At 44.9% G+C, this 19353-nt stretch overlaps 1 protein-coding gene across 6 annotated transcripts in view, besides 2 other annotated features; it reads left to right on the top strand.

Annotated features, from left to right (window-relative positions):
- The window catches only part of ZFHX3 (zinc finger homeobox 3), a 1109046-nt gene that overhangs the window by 872818 nt on the left and 216875 nt on the right, over positions 1 to 19353 (top strand). The gene's annotated exons all lie outside the window — the stretch shown is intronic.
- Positions 2640 to 2789: an enhancer, noted in NCBI's record as "active region_11101". NCBI's record gives its function as "activates an Ori minimal core promoter by ATAC-STARR-seq in GM12878 lymphoblastoid cells {active_cell/tissue: GM12878}" and the evidence as "EXISTENCE:reporter gene assay evidence [ECO:0000049][PMID:35858748]".
- Positions 3338 to 3838: an enhancer, noted in NCBI's record as "H3K4me1 hESC enhancer chr16:73049174-73049674 (GRCh37/hg19 assembly coordinates)". NCBI's record gives its function as "activates a minimal SCP1, AML or CMV promoter by ChIP-STARR-seq in naive H9 embryonic stem cells {active_cell/tissue: H9 hESC(naive)}" and the evidence as "EXISTENCE:reporter gene assay evidence [ECO:0000049][PMID:30033119]".

Below are 19353 nucleotides of genomic sequence, written 5' to 3'. Positions count from 1 at the left end.
TTTTGACTTGAGCCAGGATGAAAAGGTGCCGGATGTTTTGCTGTTTTATTCTTTCATCCAGTGACAGCCTTGAGGATTCTGGGAATGATGCATCGAGGGATGTGACAATGAGTGTGTGATACAGCGGAGCTCTGGGCCTCTGAGGTGTGTGTCCTTAGAAGCGAGGTCAGAGTCTTAGCGGAACCGGAAGCTTGAGCCCCAACACTAGGGTGCAAGCAGAGCTGGGTAGTGAGTTCTTTCTGGGTTGGTTAGGAGGGAGGGTAACCTTTGAATGAGAAGAGCTGTAGCTTTCAGAATAAAATCACAGTGGCAAGCATTGAGGAAACTGACAGCCAGTTTTAGCATTTAGACTATACAGAGGCTAGCTTCAGTCCTTCAGGGAGACAGTTCAGATTCTCAGAGTGAAGAGAGTATGATAACACACAGCCAAGCCTGGGGTGAATCCCCACAAAATGCCAATTAAAGAAAATTCTTGCCATTTATTATTTAGAGTTATTTTATTTTATTTTATTTTTGAGATGGAGTCTCACTCTGTCGCCAGGCTGGAGTGCAGTGGTGTGATTTTGGCTCACTGCAGTCTCTGCCTCCTGGGTTCAAGCGATCCTCCTGCCTCAGCCTCCCAAGTAGCTGGGACTACAGGCTAATGCCCAGGTAATTTTTTGTGGTTTTAGTAGAGACGGGGTTTCACCATGTTGGCCAGGATGGTCTCGATCTCTTGACCTCATGATCTACCCCGTTCAGCCTCCCAAAGTGTTGGGATGACAGGCGTGAGCCACCACACCCGGCCTTAGAGTTAATTTATTTTATAAGATCAAAACCATGGCCAGGCGTGTATGCTCACGCCTGTCATCCCAGCACTTTGGGAGGCCAAGGCAGGAGGATTGCTTGAGCCCAGGAGTTCGAGACCAGCCTGGGCAACATAGTGAGACCCTGTCTCTATAAAAAAAAAATCAAGCAAAATTAGCCGGGTGTGATGGCGCATGCCTGTAGTCCCAGCTACTCAAGAGGCTAAGGCGGGAGGATTGCTTGAGCCTGGGAAATTGAGGCTGCAGTGAGCCATGATCGTGCCACTGGACTCCAGCCTGGGTGACAGAGCAAGACCCTGTCTCAAAAAAAAAAAAAAGATAAAAACTGAGAAAACATAGGTCCCACTTCATCGAAAAAATCAAATTTTCATCCAAAAGGAGGAAATCATTTTCTGAAGAGGAGAGAGTAAAAGTGGGGAATTAAGGAGCATCTGCAGAGGTAGGGATGGGTCAGACAGTAGGCATGGGCTCTATGCAGGTGGCAGAGGTCTTAGCCTGTTTGGTTTGCTGCTTACCCCTAGCCCTAGTCCAGAGAGAGCAGTCTCTGGCACACTGGGGCCACTTGGATATTTTAATGGATGGTTGGACAATTCTCTGGACGAGCTCTATCTGTGGGGTGCTAAGCTAGCAAAGCTCTTGGTGGAGGACTATGTGGTCTAGCTCCCTGGAGTTGGAGAAGTCAGCTGATAGGTTGTGCTAAAGACCAGAGAGGGGTGGGTGGAGGGGAAGAAGAGAAGGCATTATTTAGTCGTGACGGCAGCCAAGACATTGGTGGGGAGCCCAGGTGAGTGCTGGAGAGAGAACAGTGTTGGCAGAGTTTTCATGACTTGGCGAAGGGCACCACTGGAAAGCGGGGCAGGAAAAAACTTGGAGCATTTTCAGATATACCTTTCAAGTATTCCTCCTCCTAAGGCCAACAGGGGATATTTTTTGGGACCCACCTCCCTGAATGAGAGCAAAACTAAGACCCCACTCCCCTGAATCCAAACGTAGAAAATTCCCATCACGTCTTGGGAACACATTCAAATTGCCCACTCAGCCTTTGATATCTTTTTGCCTTTTTTTTTTTTTTCGAGATGGGAGTCTTGCAGTGTTGCTCAGTCTGGATTGCAGTGGCACAATCACAGCTCCATGCAGCCTCAACCTCCCAAGGCTGAGGGAGGTGATCTTCCTGCCTCAGCACCCCCAAGCAGCTGGAACCACAGGCACATGCCCCCACGCCTGGCTGATTTATTTTTATTTTTGTAGAGATGAGGTCTTGCCATATTGCCTAGTCTGGTCTTGAAATCTTGGGCTCAAGTGAACCTTCCACCTTGGCCTCCCAAAGTGCTGGGATTATAGGCATGAACCACTGCGCCCAGCCCCCTTAGTCTTTTTTTTTTCAAAGGTGCATTAAGGCATAAGGAGTGTTCAGCAAACTCTCTTGGGATATACACGTGAACTTGGGTAGGGTCCCAGTGGGCTTCAGCTGTAATGGGGAGATTCTGCTCGGAGCCACTCTGCTGTCACCAGGGTGCGAATCCACATCATGAGAGGCACAGAGAACATTCTCAGTTCACCCAGAGGTTACAGAGAGGCTGTAAATGGACATTCAAATAGAAGAGGAGGAAATTACTGGAGTCAACTCTGGTGTAAGGGCTTTAAACAAAGGCCATAAATTAGTCATATGGTGACATCTAAGGAAGACAGGATTCTATTTCTGGGGTTGGTTTATTATTATTTTGAGAGGCATCAGGAGAAGCAAGAGGAAAAGAGAAATGGGTCAAGTAGCATAAAGAATTTGAATCAAGGCAAACTAGAAACCAGTTTTGCTTGAATTACCCTTCTTGGGACTTTCACTATTCAAAGTCGTATCTTTCACAAGCAGGAGGCTGAATGAGAACCCTTTGTGAAAGGTGGTTATGTTTTGTTTTTTTTTTAAACCACTTCATCTTGTCATGTACAAAGTAGCGCCTTGTACATGTGTGCTAAAATTGAACATTTAAATCCTATTGAGTAATCCTAGTTACTCCGACCTTAAAAACCAAAACACAATTCATGTTAATTGTTAACATAATACTTCAGGTTAATTGTTAACACAAAATGGGGAAGTGGCAACAAACATGCAGGAGTGGGAGAATTAAGTCATATCTGGGCCTAGAGAGTTAAGTGGTTGGGTAGTCTGGCTTGTGATTGAAAGAGAACTGGAGGAGCCTGGGATAGAAATGAGATGGTGGTGATGGGATCTCCTTTGCGTAAGAGAGAAGACTATTCTTTGCATAGAGGTGATTCAGAAATCGCTCTGTGGCAGGATGCCTTCTGTCCATATGGCCGGTCTTTGCGTGGGCCATTCTTCAAGGTGCCATGCCTTGACTGGGTCAACATGGCCAGTGCCCGTATGGTGTGTAAAACCCAGTCCTGGAAAGCTGGCTCCCCTGGAGGTGTTGTGCAATTGGGGCAGCCGGCAGCCAGCTTCTGATGTGGTTGGCTGCCTGGCTCACACCTCTCAGGTGCTGCGGAGACAGCAAGATCCAGTGGCCCCAGGCTACCACGGAGGCGGGCAGGGTGCCACGGCCTTCCCGAGCCATTCTGTTTCCTTTGTCTTCAGGAGCCCAGCGTGCACGGGCCCTGGCTTTCCAGTTCTTCAGGCTGGCTGCCTGGCATCACAGCGAGGCTTCAGGCGGGCCCACCTGTGGAATATATTGGGTAAGGTTGGCTCGGCCTGGCTTTTGTGAATTGATAAAAGGAACTGTGGATCCAGGGATTCTTCTTGAATGTAGATGTTTCTAGTTCGGTGTCTCCTATTAGATAAAATAAACATGTAGCACACACAAACTCTTTGTCCAACTACTGTTTTTCTGTTGTTTCCTTGGTTAATTTGGATATTTATAAATCTCAAATGCGGTAGGCCAGGATGGGAGGTTTTTTCTGTCTAATGCTAAGATACTCCACTGAACACCTCTCCTAAGACATAGCCCTCGTGGCCGGTGTGGTGGCTCACGCCTGTAATCCCAGCACTTATGGAGGCTGAAGTGGGTGGATCACTTGAACCCAGGAGTTAGAGACCAACCTGGGCAACACAGCAAAACCCTGTCTCTACAAGAAATACAAAAGCTAGCTGTGCACGGTGGTAGGCGTCTGTAGTCCCAGCTACTCAGGAGGCTGAGGTGGGAGGATCACTTCAGCCCGGGAGGTAGAGGGTACAGTGAGTTGAGATTGCACCACTGCACTCCAGCTTGAGAGACAGAGTGAGACCCTATCTCAAAAAAAAAAAAAAAAAAAAAAAAGACACAGCTCTTGATTACAGCATCTGAGGCCTTTGGTCCTAATTTTTGGTGATGGAGAAAGAGAGGTTTCAGCTGGTCCCTAGGGTCTGGAGAAGGAGGGTAGTGTGAACCCCTTGGTAGGGTGAACCCTTCAGGGACACCCCTGCTTCTGTGTGTCCAGTGGTTCTGTCCCCCTTTCTCCAGATGGCTATACTAGTTTCCTCTTGATGCCGTAAGAAGTTACCACATAGGCCGGACATGGTGGCTCATGCCTGTAATCCCAGCACTTTGGGAGGCCGAGGCAGGTGGATCATGAGGTCAGGAGATCAAGACATGGTGAAACCCCTTCTCTACTAAAAATACAAAAATTAGCCGGGCATGGTGGTGCCTGCCTGTAATCCCAGCTACTCAGGAGGCTGAGGCAGAGAATCGCTTGAAGCAGGGAGTCGGAGGTTGCAGTGAGTTAAGATCGCACCACTGCACTCCAGCCTGGTGACAGAGCGAGACTGTGTCTCAAAAAAAAAAAAAAAAAAAAAAAAAAAAGAAGAAGAAATTACCACAAACTTGTTGGTGTAAAACACAAACTTAAGTTTGCATTTTGATGTTTTCTGTAAGGATGTAGTATGTTTAAACTTTATTAACTAATGTTCAAAACTGCGATGTGTGCATAGAATATTACGTATGCATGTTCATGTCTAAAGAATGGCTGTTGATGATAAAATAAAAATCAGCTTTCATTTTTCCAAAAAAAAAAAAAAATGCAAAAAACCGCAAACTGATTGCCTTGTAGCTGGAGCCTAGAAGTCTGAAATCAGTTTCAGTAGGCTGAAGTCAGGGTGTTGGCAGGGCTGCTTTCTCGTAGCGGTTTCGAGGAGGAACCCATTTCCTTGCATGGTCTAGGTTCTGGAGGCCCCCACATTTCTGGGTTGATGGCCCCTTCCTCACATCACTCTGTGTCATGCTTCTGTTACATCTCCTTCTTCTGCCTGACTCTGTCCTCTCCTTTGCCCCTGTTGTAAGGACCCCTGTGATTGCATCAGGCCCCCTGGATAATCCACGATCATCTCCTCTATCCAAAGATCCTTCACTTGATCGCATCTGCAAAGTTTCCTTTGCTGTAGAAGGTAACATATTTGTAGGTTACGGATATTAGGATGTGGGCGTCTTCGGGGGTTGTTATTCAGCTACTGCACGGTCCTGTGGAGGAATTGGTGCAGTTGGCAAAGAAAGAGACCCCCACGTGCCTCTAGAGGTAGGTGGCTCAGGAGGGCAAAGCTAAACCAAATATTACAGCCTTACCTGTTCCAACAATGCCTATTTCCTTGGAAATGAGGGAAGAGGCTTCGAGATGAAATTTGGTGGCCTCTCCCCTCCCCCAAATAATGTGACATTATTTTGTGAAATTGTATTTTGGTGAGGCCCAAAGAGTCATACTTGAGAGAAAAATAAAAGAGAGTGTTTATAAAGGGTTTTTGGCCAGGCACCGTGGTTCAGGCCTGTACTCCCAGCACTTTGGGAGGCCAAGGCAGGCAGATCACTTGAGCCTGGAAGTTTGAGACCAGCCTGGGCAACATGGCAAAACCCTGTCTCCACAAAAAATAGAAAAATTAGCTGGGTGTGGTGGCACACGCCTGTGGTCCCAGTTACTTGGGAGGCTGAGGTGGGAGGATCGCTTGAGCCAGGGAGGCAGAGGTTGCAGTGAGCCAACATCGTACTACTGCACTCCAACCTGGGCGACAGAGCAAGACCCTGTCTCAAAAATAATAATAATAAAAAAATAAAGAGTTTTCACATGGGTCCCTGTAAAGAAAGAATCCAAGTGTTGTGGGAATAAGAGCAAAGGTTCAGTGGAGATTGATACCACACTTTAGAGGTCACTTGAAGGGCACAGATGGGCAGTCTGTGATGTGTTCAGGATGGTGGCCTCCTCTCTGCCCTTCTTGTACAGCCCCTTGGCCTGGGTACCTTCACTCCCGTGATTGGTAGGTCTGTACCTCCTGAGCGCCCAGATGAAATGTCCAGTTGCTAGTTGATGGCTTATAGGCTGCCTTTGGCAGTCCAGGAGTCCTGGGGGAAGTGTGTGCATAGGATGGAGCTATGTTTCTAGAACCAGCATGGATACATTTTCTGCTACAAGAGATATTGCAAATGACAATTCATTCCTTGGCTGGCCTCTGATACTATGTATTTGAACCATATGGAATCACCATTTTTGGATTAAATTAGAGTTGTTAATAACATCATGGAAGAACGTGTTAGGTTCTGGGCAAGGATCTTAACAGCACGATTTTGGAACAAGTATAGGTTGTTGGGTATCTAGATTATATCATTCGTGCCAGGATCTCAAAATTTGGGATGGAAAATACTTCTATCAAATTATTTTCCTTTTCTCTCCTCTTCTCTTTTGTCTTTGTCTTCATCTCCAGCTGCCTAGATTAAGATATAAGTAGTTTCACCCAAATTCCAAGGAGGACTTGGAGGATGAAGGCCGGTTGCTGCTGTAGTGTGTAGCCACCGTTGGGCACCGGCCGTGGGCTTGGGCCCCTCCCTACACTTGTTCCAAAACTGTGTATTTAAGATCCTTGCCCAGAACCTAACACATTCCTCCATGATGTTATTATTTAACAGCTCTAATTTAATAAAAAAAATGGTGATTCCATATGGTTCAAATGCATACTATCAGAGGCCAGCCAAGGAATAAACTGTCATGTGCAGTATCACTTGTAGTAGAAAATTTGTCTCTGATGGTTCTAGAAACATGGCTCCATCCTATGCATGCACTTCCCAGCACAGAGGTTGAGCTGCAGTGGTCATGGAGAGGCGCTGTGGAGCTGAATGGAGTTTGAGGCTGTCTGCCCGTTAGTTGTACCTATTCCACCAGGTGTTTTGGTGTTGGAAGACTTGAGATCAAGTTCTCAGTTGGCAGTGGTTTCAAAGCCCTGCTGAGAAGACTGACTGCCTTTTTGGGTACCTCTATTTTGAAGTGGCTGTGACATTTGACTGTAATGTTTAGCTCGAATGTGTTTTGTGCTTGATGAGCTAATAGCATGCCTTCCTCTAAAGATAGTATTTCAGTGGTGGCAGAAGAGGCTTCCTCTTTGGTCTTGGGGGACGGGGACAGAAGTCAGCTTCTACCCCTCGATAGAAACTTACCTGGTGCCCCAGAATTAGTGCAGAATACCCAAATAACACCAAGATAAAAAAAGGTATCCCACCGAATTGAGTTGAGGAGGGGCATCTTAATTTTGGTTGCATTTATTATCCCAGTATTTTGGGGGGAGGGGAGTTAGCTTAAAGCTTAAGAATCCACAGGGGGGCTTGTGATTTTTTTTTTTTCCTTGAGATTGAGTCTTGCTCTGTCACTAGCCTGGAATGCAGTGGCATGATATCCATGCACTGCGACCTCTGCCTCTAGGTTCAAGTGATTCTCCTGCCTCAGCCTCCTGAGTAGCGCCACCAAGCCCAGCTAATTTTTGTATTTTTAGTAGAGACAGGGTTTCACCATGTTGGCCAGGATGGTCTTGATCTCTTGACCTCGTGATCTGCCCACCTTGGCCTCCCAAAGTACTGGGATTACAGGTATGAGCCACCACGCCCAGCCCAGACTTGTGATATTAATATATGCAGTGTTGCTGGGTGTGGTGGCTCACGCCTGTAATCCTAGTGCTTTGGGAGTTCAAGGTAGGAAGATTGCTTGAGGCCAGGAGTTTGAGACCACGCTGGGCAACAAAGGGAAACCCCATATCTACAAAAAATTAAAAAAAAAAAAATTAGCCAGGGCCAGGTGAAGTGGTTCAGGTCTGTAATCCCAGCACATTGGGAGGCTGAGGCAGGCGGATCGACCTGAGGTCAGGAGTTTGAGACCAGCCTGGCCAACGTGGTGAAACCCCGTCTCTACCAAAAAATACAAAAATTAGCCCGGTGTGGTGGTGCATGCCTGTAGTCCCAGCTACTGGGGAGGCTGAGGTGGGAGAATCGCTTAAACCCGGGAGGTCGAGGTTGCAGTGAGCCAAGATCACGCCACTGTACTCCAGTCCAGCCTGGATGACAAGAGTGAGACCCTGTCTCACAAAATAAAACAAACAAAAAATTAACCCAGTGCGGTGGTGCACACCTGTAGTCCTAGCTACTCGGGAGGTAGACTTGGGAGGATCACTTGAGCCCAGGAGTTCGAGGCTGCAGTGAACTATGACCATGCCAGTGCACTCCAGCCTGGGTGACAGAGCAAGACTCTGTCTCTGTGTAAAAAAATAAAATAAAAATAAAATGTTCAATGTTGGTCAGAGAGTAGAACTTGATGTAAATGTCTCCTGGAGTAGAACTCGTGTGCCCAAAGGACTGGCTCTGGAGTGGGTGGTTTCTGAAGACAGACACAGCACATCAGGCAGAGTGGAGACTTCTGGCTGCCAGCTCGGTCCTTTTATGAGGTGTCTAGAGTCAGCTCCCCTGAGAGGAGGAGGCTGAGATGAGGTAACCTGGTTCTGCAGGTCAGCAGGGAGGCTCTGCCCTGAGGCTGTGTGCCGGGCTCTCTGATAATGCAGCATTTTCGCTTTAATGCATCTGAAATGTGGATTATACTATTAATTACTGCTGGACAAAGAGGGATTAGTGCAGCTGGCCCACTTTCCCCTTTGCACTTTTACACTTCCCCTTTGCTAGGGAATGGGCCAAAGGCCAGCGGGTTTTCCTGTCATCCGTCTTTTGTTTTAGCGGCAGTGGCTGCTGAACCTCTCGTGGGGATGAATGGGGAACGGTGCAGAGTCTTGAACTCCATTTGGCACACGGGCGATGCAGGTGGCACAGTTTCCTTCCCCACAGCTGGGCATTCTGTGCCAGGCTCCTAGGGTGGCTGCTGGGTGGCTTCTCCCCAGCAGGGCGAGTAGCAGTGCCCTGCAGCATCTTCGCTGTTAAAGGGCCTTGCTCTGTGGTGGGAGCTGAGTGCCACCTTCCCATGGGGCGTGCCTCCGTGGGTGTTCTGATGCTAATGGAAGCCCCCAGGTGCTGTGTACCTTTATGAGTTTTTTTTTTTTTTTTTTTCTTTGAGAGGGAGTCTCGCTCTGTAACCCAGGCTGGAGTGCAGTGATGCAATCTCGGCTCACTGCAACCTCTGCTTCCTGAGTTCAAATGATTCTCCTGCCTCAGCCTCCTGAATAGCTGGGATTACAGGCGTGCGCCACCACACCCTGCTAATTTTTTTATTTTTACTAGAGACGGGGTTTTGCCATTTTGGTCAGGCTTGTCTCGAACTCCTGACCTCAAGTGATTCGCCTGCGTCGGCCTCTGAAAGTGCTGGAATTACAGGTGTGAGCCACCATGACTGGCCCCTTTGTGAGTTTCTTAAATGGTCAAGTAAAGTACAAAAGGCTGGCCCTGCCATCTGCTGCTGGGGGATGGAGGTTTTGGTAGCCAGCAATTAGCCCATGATATTGTATTTGAGACATTCTGAATGCCTAAGTTTGGTACTAACACCTTATCTTTGCATAAAACGTTATAGATTTTAAGTAATATATGATTACATTTTCTATTTTTTTCCCATATTCAGGCTAGTATACTCATTTTTCATCCATATGGAATGAGTTTTTTTTTTAAATAGATGAAGCATTAAATAACCACATCTCACTAATAATGCTCCCAAGAGTACATAACTTGGTGGTGTTTGCAATTACATACAATGTAATCTGTTGTGTGTGCAGGCGTGTGGATTTCTGTTTACCGGCATCCTTCATTATATGGTAACATAATATACAGAATTTCCCAGTTGCAGAAATTAGAAAGTAGGAAACAGATTTCTTCAACGTAAATTGGAAAACTGATTTATGGAGTCCATTTTTTTTTCTTTTCTTTTTAACTTGGCACTACAAAGTTTGTGGGAAGGAAGGGAGTTGATACGGTATGATGCTTATAAGCACAAGTTAATTCAATTAATTTGGGATTGAAATGCGTTTTAAGGTCTGTAGCAGGCAAGATCTACAAGATGTAGTAATTGTAAAATGGGAAAGGCTGCGTAAGGAGATACAGGGAACTGGCTACTGTACTGCCTCAGCTTCATGTTCCTGACATTTAGGTTTCAAAATAGCCCAGTTGGAACCTCATTAAGCTTTTTAACATATATATACACACATACACACACACACACACACACACACACACGTATATACTTTATTTTTCTTGTAGCTCTCAATTCTTCTGAACTTGGAGATTGCAGAATTAGAGATTATTGTTTTTCCCTCCTGCCTTCTTTAGTCACAGATGTAATCATCTTGGGGCCAAGTCTTACTCAATTGAAGCCATCTCTAAATTTCATCAAAAAAATATGGAAGTTTACTTGGTTATATACTTAGATGGTGTATCTGGGATGGTTTTATTCCATTTATTGAGGGGTGACTTTGCTTCTGAAATAAGCAAGCAGCATATGCCCAAGATAAAATTTTCAGAAGGCACAGAGACTTAACATCCTCTTCCCTCTCTCCTTGTGTTGCTTACACTCAGATCTCTCAGTGCCCCAGGACCAATGGTGGTTATATCCCTTCTACAAGGAGTGTCTGTAGATATGGCCATCACAGCATTATATGAGTCATTTTTCACTTTTAACATTGTCGTGTTTTCTATTTAAAAGGTTTTTTTTTATTTGCCAGAGTTTCATCTCCTTTCAGAGATGTTTTTATCCTCCATAGAATACTTAAACATGTTAATGAAATCCAGTTACTTGAAAATTTAAAAATATTCTCCTAAATCACACTTGGGTCAAAGAGGAAATGAAGTTACTGTTACAGGATCATTAGGAAATATTGAGAACTCTGTATATCTAAATGTATGGGTTATTACCAAAGTTATATTCAGGGGCACATTTGTAGCTTTAAAACATTATTAAAGAAAATGAAAATAAATGAATTAAGTATTCAACTCAAACTTGGAAAGCATAAAACAAGCCTAAAGACAGCTGGAGAAAAGAATTGTAAGATAAAAGTGATATTAATGAATTAGAAAAACAGATAAAAACACTGAATTGATAAATCTAAAAGCTATTTGGGAAAAAAGGCCAAGGAAGTAGACCAAATCACTATCATGTTTAATTAAGAAAAGAGAAAAGAGAAAACCCCAAATACAGAAAACTAAAAAGGAATTGATATGATAGAAAAAGTGTAACAAATGTAAGTTGCATTTGAAGTAATTGTTTTGTAATGTAAAACACAGTAACTTAAAATGCAACACCTTTGAAAATCCCAGTGACATGGCTGTTGGGAAATGACTTGGATGTCTGAAACTTTAAATCAGAAACTGGGGAAGAAGCTGAGCATTAAAAAAAAAGTTCTGGCCTTGCGCGGTGGCTCACGCCTGTATGTAATCCTAGCACTTTGGGAGGCCGCGGCGGGTGGATCACGAGGTCAGGAGTTGAGACCTGTCTGGCCAACATAGTGAAACCCAGTCTCTACTAAAGATACAAAAAATCAGCCGGGTGCGGTGGTGGGCACCCGTAGTCCCAGTTACTCGGGAAGCTGAGGCAGGAGAATTGCGTGAACCCGGGAGGCAGAGATTGTAGTGAGCCGAGATCGCACCACTGCACTCCAGCCTGGGCGACAATGTGAGACTCCGTCTCAAAAAAACAAAAACAAAAAACAGTTATGAGGAGGGCTCTGGATGCAAGAAGTTTAAAGGATAAGTTATTTTAAACTTAGAGGGATGCTATAATTGCCTGCTAAATACACTGTTTCAGGGAATAGAAAAAGAGGTAAAGCATCCCAGTTGATTTGACAAAGCTAGCATAATTCTGGGAACCAACACCATCACAAAGGTTACACAAAAAGAAAGCTGAAGATTGAGTTCCGACATGAGTGGAGATGCAAAAATGCCAGATAAAACAGTCACAGATTGAATTTAGCATTTTAAAAGAATCATAACCACATAGGATTTATCCTGGAAATGTAAGAAGGGGCTTAATATCAGAATGTCTTCTCTTGAAATAATCATGTATGTAGAGCCAAGAAGAAAAACATAATATAGTTGGCCTTCATAGTCACCCGTTCTGCATTTGTAGATTCCAGCAACTGCAAATCAAAAATATTTGGGGAAAAAATTGGGTCTTTACTCAACATGTAAAGGACCTGTGGACTCGACAGCCTTTTTGCTTGTCATTATTCCTTAAATGATACAGTTTAACAAATATTTATATAGCATTTACATTGCATTAGGTGTTATAAGTAATCAAAAGATGATTTAAAGTATACAGGAGGTTGTGCATATTATGCTGTTTTATATCAGGGACTTGACTATCCTCAGATTTTCGGGATCTATGGGAGATATAGCAAGGGACAGCTGTCTGTCTGTGTGTATGTGTGTGAGAGATACATTTGATCACCTTCCTTCCTTTCCTTCCTTTCCTCTTTCCTTCCTCCCTTTCCTTTCCTTTTCTTTCGTTTCTTTCTTTTTTTTCTTTTCTTTCTTTTCTTTCTTTGTCTTGTTTTGTTGCTTAGGCTGGAGTGCAGTGGTGCAATCATGGCTCATTATAGCCTTGACCTCCAGCTCAAGCAGTCTTCCTGCATCACCTTGAGTAGCTGGGACTACAGGCACACACCACCATGCTGGGCTTTAATTTTTTTTTTCATAGAGATTGGGGTCTCACTATGTTGTCCAGGCTGGTCTTAAACTCCTGGCCTCAAGTTATCCTCCTGCGTTGGCCTCCCAAAATTCTGGGATTATAGGCTTGAGCCGTCACACTTGACTGCATTTGGTAATTTTCTACCCTTATTCCTAGTCTGCTTAGAATTTTGAAAACTCAAGCTTGAAAGAGGATGCATTGACTTCTCAATGAAGAAACAGGCAGCCAACACCCTCAGACTTAGTGATGAATCATGAGAGGCAACATTCTGAAACTGGGAACACAATGGAGACTATGGAATATACTAATTTGCTAATTTCTTTTTCCTACCTTATTGAACTGGTCAGGATGGACAAACCAAAGTCAAATAATGGTTAAAAAGAAACAAAGAAAATTATTTCCAGATGTTACTGTCTTCCTAGTGGCCCAAGACACATTTAAATTTAATTAAGGAGTTCAGTTACAACGTAACATTTTAAAAGATAATTAGCTTTCTCATATACTGGGAAAAACTGGTTAGAAAATATAGAGATCACTCAGTGGGATGGAATCAAATAGAAATGTGTCTGGTAAAGGTTGTATTTCATGTTAAGTGAGAGGAATCAGAGTAACAGCTCACATAACGCTTCAGAACTTCTAAGTGCCAAGCATTATGCTGAAGACCTTTTTTTTTTTTGAGACGGAGTCTCGCTCTGTTGCCTAGGCTGGAGTTCAGTGACACAATCTCAGCTCACTGCAAGCTCTGCCTCCCGGGTTCACGCCATTCTTCTGCCTCAGCCTCCCGAGTAGCTGGGACTACAGGCGCCGGCCACCACGCCCGGCTAATTTGTATTTTTAGTAGAGACGGGATTTCCCTGTGTTAGCTAGGATGGTCTCCATCTCCTGTTCTCGTAATCTGCCCGCCTCGGCCTCCCAAAGTGCTGGGATTACAGGCGTGACCCATGGTGCGCAGCCAACTTTTTTCTTTTTTTGAGACAGAGTCTTGTTCCCTCACCTAGGCTGGAGTGCAGTGGCACGATCTTGGCTCACTGTAACCTTTGTCTGCCAGGCTCAAGCAGTTCTCCTGCCTCAGTCTCTCAAGTAACTGGGGCTACAGGTGTGCGCCACCATGCCCAGCTAATTTTTGTATTTTTAGTAGAGACTGGGTTTCACCATTGTTGGCCAGGCTGGTCTCAAACTCATGGCCTCATTATCTTCCCGCCTTGGCCTCCCAAAGTGCTGGCATTATAAGACGTGAGCCACTGCACCAGACCAAGACTTTATATGAACTTATTTAATCCTCATAAAAACCAGATGAATTGGATACTACTAATACATTACTAATAGTTCATTTTATAGTGAAGGAAACCGAAGCTCAGGGAGTTTAAGTAACAGGCTCAAAGTCAGCCAGACTTGGACACTGATGTAACTGACAGCAAAACCAGTGATCTCTATCACTGCACTTCACTGCCTCTCGTATTATAAAATTATGCAATAAATGGTTGTAGGACAGTTAGATAGCCAAATGGCGGAAAAATTAGGTTAGAGCCATTTTTCATAGCATATGTTACCATCCATTCCAGGTGAGTTGGAGAGGTAAAAGTAAAACTAAAATCACAAAAGAGCTAGAAGAAAATATAGGTTAATATTGATCTGAATATAGGGCAGTGAGGAATATTAGGCCTAAGCCTTGTGGGGAAGAAATTGTAATAGAAAAGATTGATGTAGTCTACTTAAAAAAAATTGTGCATGCTGGTCACTAATCACAAAATTTTAAGGCATATGACAAACTGTGAAAAGGTGTTTAGAGCACATGGAATTGACAGTGTGTCCTAAATCCTTAATATATAAAGAGCTCTTAAAAATGAATGAAACAGCCAGGTGCAGTGGCCCACACTTGTAATCCCAGCACTTTGGGAGGTTGAGGCAGGCACATCACAAGGTCAGGAGTTCAAGAACAGCCTGGCCAACATGGGGAAACCCCATCTCTACTAGCTGGGCGTGATGGTGGGCATCTGTAATCCCAGCTACTTGGGAGGCTGAGGCAGGAGAATGGCTTGAAACCAAAAGGCAGAGGTTGCAGTGAGCCGAGATTGCACCACTGTGCTCCAGCCTGGGTGAAAGAGTGAAACTCCATCTCAAAAAAAAAAAAAAAAAAAAAAAAAGATTGATGCATACAGATAGAGAAAAATGGAGGCCAGGCACAGTAATCCTAGCACTTTGGGAGGCTGAGGTGGGAGGATTGCTTGAGCCCAGGAGTTTGAGACCAGCCTGGGCAACATAGTGATACCTGTCTCTACTTAAAAAAAAAAAAAAAAAAAAAAAAAGTCGTGTTTTTATGTAGTTATTATTGTGGTAAACAAAAATAAAAAGAGATAAATGGGCAAAGAACACAAATGGACAATTCATGAAGAATAAATCTAGGCTGCCCATTTGAAGAGCCAAATGAGACCTCATTGTTTTAACGTATTTGATTACTGGTAAGGTTGAGCTTTTTTTGTTTTGTTTTGTTTTTTTGAACTAAGTGGAAAAAAAAAAAAAAGCAAATACCCTGATCTGGTTATTGGGTATAAAAATTAGTATACCCTTTCTGGAGGATCATTTGGCAGTATGTGTCAAGAAACTTTAAGGTTTATTTAAATGTGTAGCTTTTCCCCCCGTGAATTCCTGACCCCCTCACTCTGTTCTGCCTCTGCATTTCTGACCATACCATATGCCACTAGTAAAATACTATACAATTAAAAAAATGTATTATCCTTTTTGTTTGTTTGTTTGTTTTTTGAGATGGAGTCTCGCTGTTTCGTCCAGGCTGGAGTGCAGTAGTGCAGTCTCAGCTTACTGCAATCCCTGCCTCCCTGGTTCAGGCGACTCTCCTGCCTTAGCCTCCTGAGTAGCTGGGACTACAGGCGCCCGCCATCACTCCCAGCTAATTTTTTTTTTTTTTAAGAGATGGGGCGGGGTGGGGAGGGGGGGGTCTCACCATGTTGGCCAGGCTGGTCTCGAACTCCTGACCTCAGATGATCCACCCACCTTGGCCTCCCAAAGTGCTGGGATTATAGGTGTGAGCCATTGTGCCTAGCAAAAAATGTATTATCCTTGATTGTTTCCCCTGCTAGAATCTAAGCTTCACAAGGGCGGAGTCTTTGTCTGATGGTTTTTTTTTTTTTTTCCCTTTAATTATCTTACGTCTAATACCCGGATCAGGACTGGTGACAACTCCATTTGTAATAAGGAAACCCTGAGAGTCGTGCAAAGGAAATTTATACATAAAGATTTTTGCTACAGACACTTATAACAGACATTTATAATAGTGAAAAATGGAAACTATCTGAAAAATCTTACAGGGGATTGATTTAAACTGTGGTGCAGCCATATGGTAGATGCTTATGCAGCTATTTAAAACTCCTGCCTCCTGGTTATAAATGTGGGAAAACAGTGATGTAAATGGAATGAAAGGAACTCTGTGGACTATAGGACTTCAGTTTAATTTTTAAAATATGCATAGAAGAGAAGCTAAAGAATTACATATGACTGATGGCTATTTCCAGCTGGTAGAAGTACAGGCTACTTTTAATACTTTGTTTTCTGAGCTCCGCATAGTGAATATCTATTACTTTTTGTCATGAGAAGAAAATATGTGCTTAAAAGTTTGCAAAAATGTAGAATCACTTAAATAGCACTGGCCTGTGGCTGTGTTTGGAGGCTTTTTGGAGATTATTCAATCTTGTGAATTAGCGAGAACCTAATTTAAAAAAAAGCAGCAAAGATGCTTCACAAAATGTCCTTAGGCTACTTAGCTTTAATTATTTATGATATTTACTGTAAGCATCTATGGTATGTGTTTGTAAAAATAGTGGAAGTCTTAGTGATCTGCAAGCTTGTGGAATCAATCGCCTTGGGTACTTGAGAACACCTTTGCCCAAGTTAGCTGTCTTGATGGAAATGTGTGTGCTGTCTTTCTGATATGTCACTGAATTTCAAAGCAAACTTAGATCACACCTCAGCATAAGCTGGGTGGGCAGTATGCAGTTGTGATATGTGATATGTCGATTCTGGTATTAACCAAGGAGAAGACGCTCTGATCTACCTTCTCTATCTCGTCACTTTGTGGAAGGACTTAGGGGGCAGGTATAGGAGAAGCTGCCAAGTGCCAGGGGAGCCAGCCACCACAGAGCATTAATCTTGGTGTGCCAAAAGAGAAGACCAGAGTTACTGATGGAGTTCTCCTGGCCAGAGAAGTAGAAGCTTGTTCAGCATGTTTGAGTAGAAGTTTCCTGGAATCCCTAAAGAGTCACGTGCTATCCTGGCGGGGGTTTGAGTTCCATGTCCGTTACTTTATGGCTGTGGGTCTCAGATGCTTTATCTGTAAAAGAAAGTTAGACTGGATTCTCTCCTCACTCTTTCTTCAACCCTAAAATTCCAAAGCAATCTGGTATCCTTTTATTTGGGGGCATGACTGTTAGGTGTCTCTGTCATCTGTGAGGATGGAGAGAGGCCCAGGGAGTTTTGCTGCTTTTCTGGTCTATGGACCGGAATGTGGGCTTGATAGGTAATGCCACATGGTGAGAGGAAGGTGGCTAGAGAGAGTCAGTCTGGCCTAAGTGAGAATCTCTGCTACTTACTGGCCAAAATTATATATTTTCTTTTCTTTCCCCCCCTTTTTTTTTTGAAGGGTCTCACTGTCTTGTCCAAGCTGAAGTGCGTGGTGGTGCAGTCAGGGCTCACTGCAGCCTTGACCTCCCGGGCTCAAGGCATCCTTCCACCTCAGCCTCCTGAATAGCTGGGACGACAGTCATGTGCCACCACACTTGGCTAACCTTTTTTTAAAAAAAATTTTGTAGAGACAGAGTCTTGCTATCTTGCCCAGGCTGGTCTTGAACCTCTGAGCTGAAGTGATCCTCTCACTTCAGCCTCCCAAAGTGTTGGGACCACAGGCATGAGTCAGCACTCCTGGCCTCCATTATATCTTTTCATTTGCAAAATGGAGATGTGTATTGTTATCTATTGCTGCATCACAGATTACCCCTAAGTTCAGTAGCTTAAAATGGCAAGCACTTATTATCTTACAGTTTCTGTGGGTCAGGAATCGGGCTGTGGCGTAGCTGGGTCCCCTGCTGCAAGGTCAAAGTGTTTACCTGGGGCCGTGGTCTCATCTGAAGACTTGACTGGGGACAGACTGAAATCTGTGCTCACACACACGGTTGTTGATAGGATTCATTTCCCCAAGAGCTGCTGGCTGGAGGCTGCTCTCAGTTCTTTGCCATGTGGGTCTCACCACAGAGCAGCTCACAATGGGGCACTTGGCTTCCATAAGGGAGAGGAGGAGGAGAAGGGTGCAGATGACTAAAATGACGGTTTCTTTGCAGCCTCATCTCAGAAGTGGTGTCCTATCACATTTGTCCTATTCCATTTGCATGCTGTTGGTAAGAAGTGAGTCCCTATGTATTGCTCACTCCCAAGGGGAGGGGACTACACAAGGGTGTGAATGCCACGGGGTGGGATTGGAGGATCTGGCTTAGAGGCTGCCCACCAGGGATCATAAGGACTGAGTGAGGCGACAGTTTGTTCAAGTGTCAGGAACAGCTTCATTGCTTAGTGTTGGCTGCTGTTCTTGTCTCCACCCCCAGTTTCAAAATTGCTTTGCCTAAGGGGTTTGTGGGGTTCAGCAGAGACTCCAGGAGTGTGTCGAACGTGGAGGAAGGTCTTGTCACATGATCTGACGCCCATCCGCTGTCCTTTTCCAGTTAGGCTTTGGAGTGTCTGCTGGGTGTGGCATGTCTAGCGTAATTTGAGAGGGAAATGGGTGTTTGGCCGCTGAAAACATCCAGTGTGTGTTTCTGTGGGTTAGGCAGCTATTCAGAGAAACACCCAGGAGCTCTTTGGGAGCCCACGGGTCGAGACAGAAAAGCTTCCTGAAGTTGTCCCTTTTTGTGTGTCTCAATGCCACCACTTACGAAGTCAAGGAGGAGGCCTGCCTGGCACATCCTTCAGTTAAAGGATACTCTATTGGGTTGAGCCGAGTGCCAGACATTGCCACAACCCTAGGAAATGAGTTAGGAAAAAAATGGAAAGCAGAGTCCTCCCACTAGAACAAGCTGAGCTTTGTGCAGAACAGGCTCCAAATATGAAAAGACCATTGTTCCCGGATGGCTTTTTAATTCATGCTCACCACTCACACCCATCAGCTCGCCAAGAAGAGGCGCCTCCTTCCTTCCTTTCACCGCGTGCCCTTCGTCCCTCCCTCCTCTCTCCAGTGCCCTGGGGACAGGTCGAGGGACCCTGGGGGATGGGAGGATGCCGAGCCTGGTGTTGACAGACAGTGGTGCCTGCTCTGTTCTTCTGCCCGGGATACTTACTCGGGTGGGCCCTCCACCTGTTGGAGAGCAGCTCTCTGCATTTCTAGGTTCGGAAGCCAGCCCTGTCCCCATGGGGCTCCGGGAACAAAGCCCAGTGTCAGCCCATTCCAGTCTTTCCTTCAAAACTCTGTGCACACCTTCTCTTGCCTGCAGCCAAAGCGACAAGCCAGAAGTGAACTGTTTTCTGTATGTTTCCATTTTCCCCGGGTTGCCCTGCTCTTAGAGCTGAATCTGGATGGATGAGCCTGCAGAAGCTTTCAGCTTGCCAGTGTCCTCCACTCCACCAGATAGGGCAGGTGCAGCTGCTGAGCGGAGAGAGTGAAGTATGTACTTATGGTGTGAAGAAAATTGACTGATTCAAGAGTTGCTGC

This window comes from Homo sapiens, chromosome 16 (genome assembly GCF_000001405.40).
Source record: "Homo sapiens chromosome 16, GRCh38.p14 Primary Assembly".
NCBI lineage: Eukaryota > Metazoa > Chordata > Mammalia > Primates > Hominidae > Homo > Homo sapiens.
The sequence above is the reverse complement of the archived record's forward strand: the minus strand, read 5'-3'. Positions and strand labels throughout refer to the sequence as shown.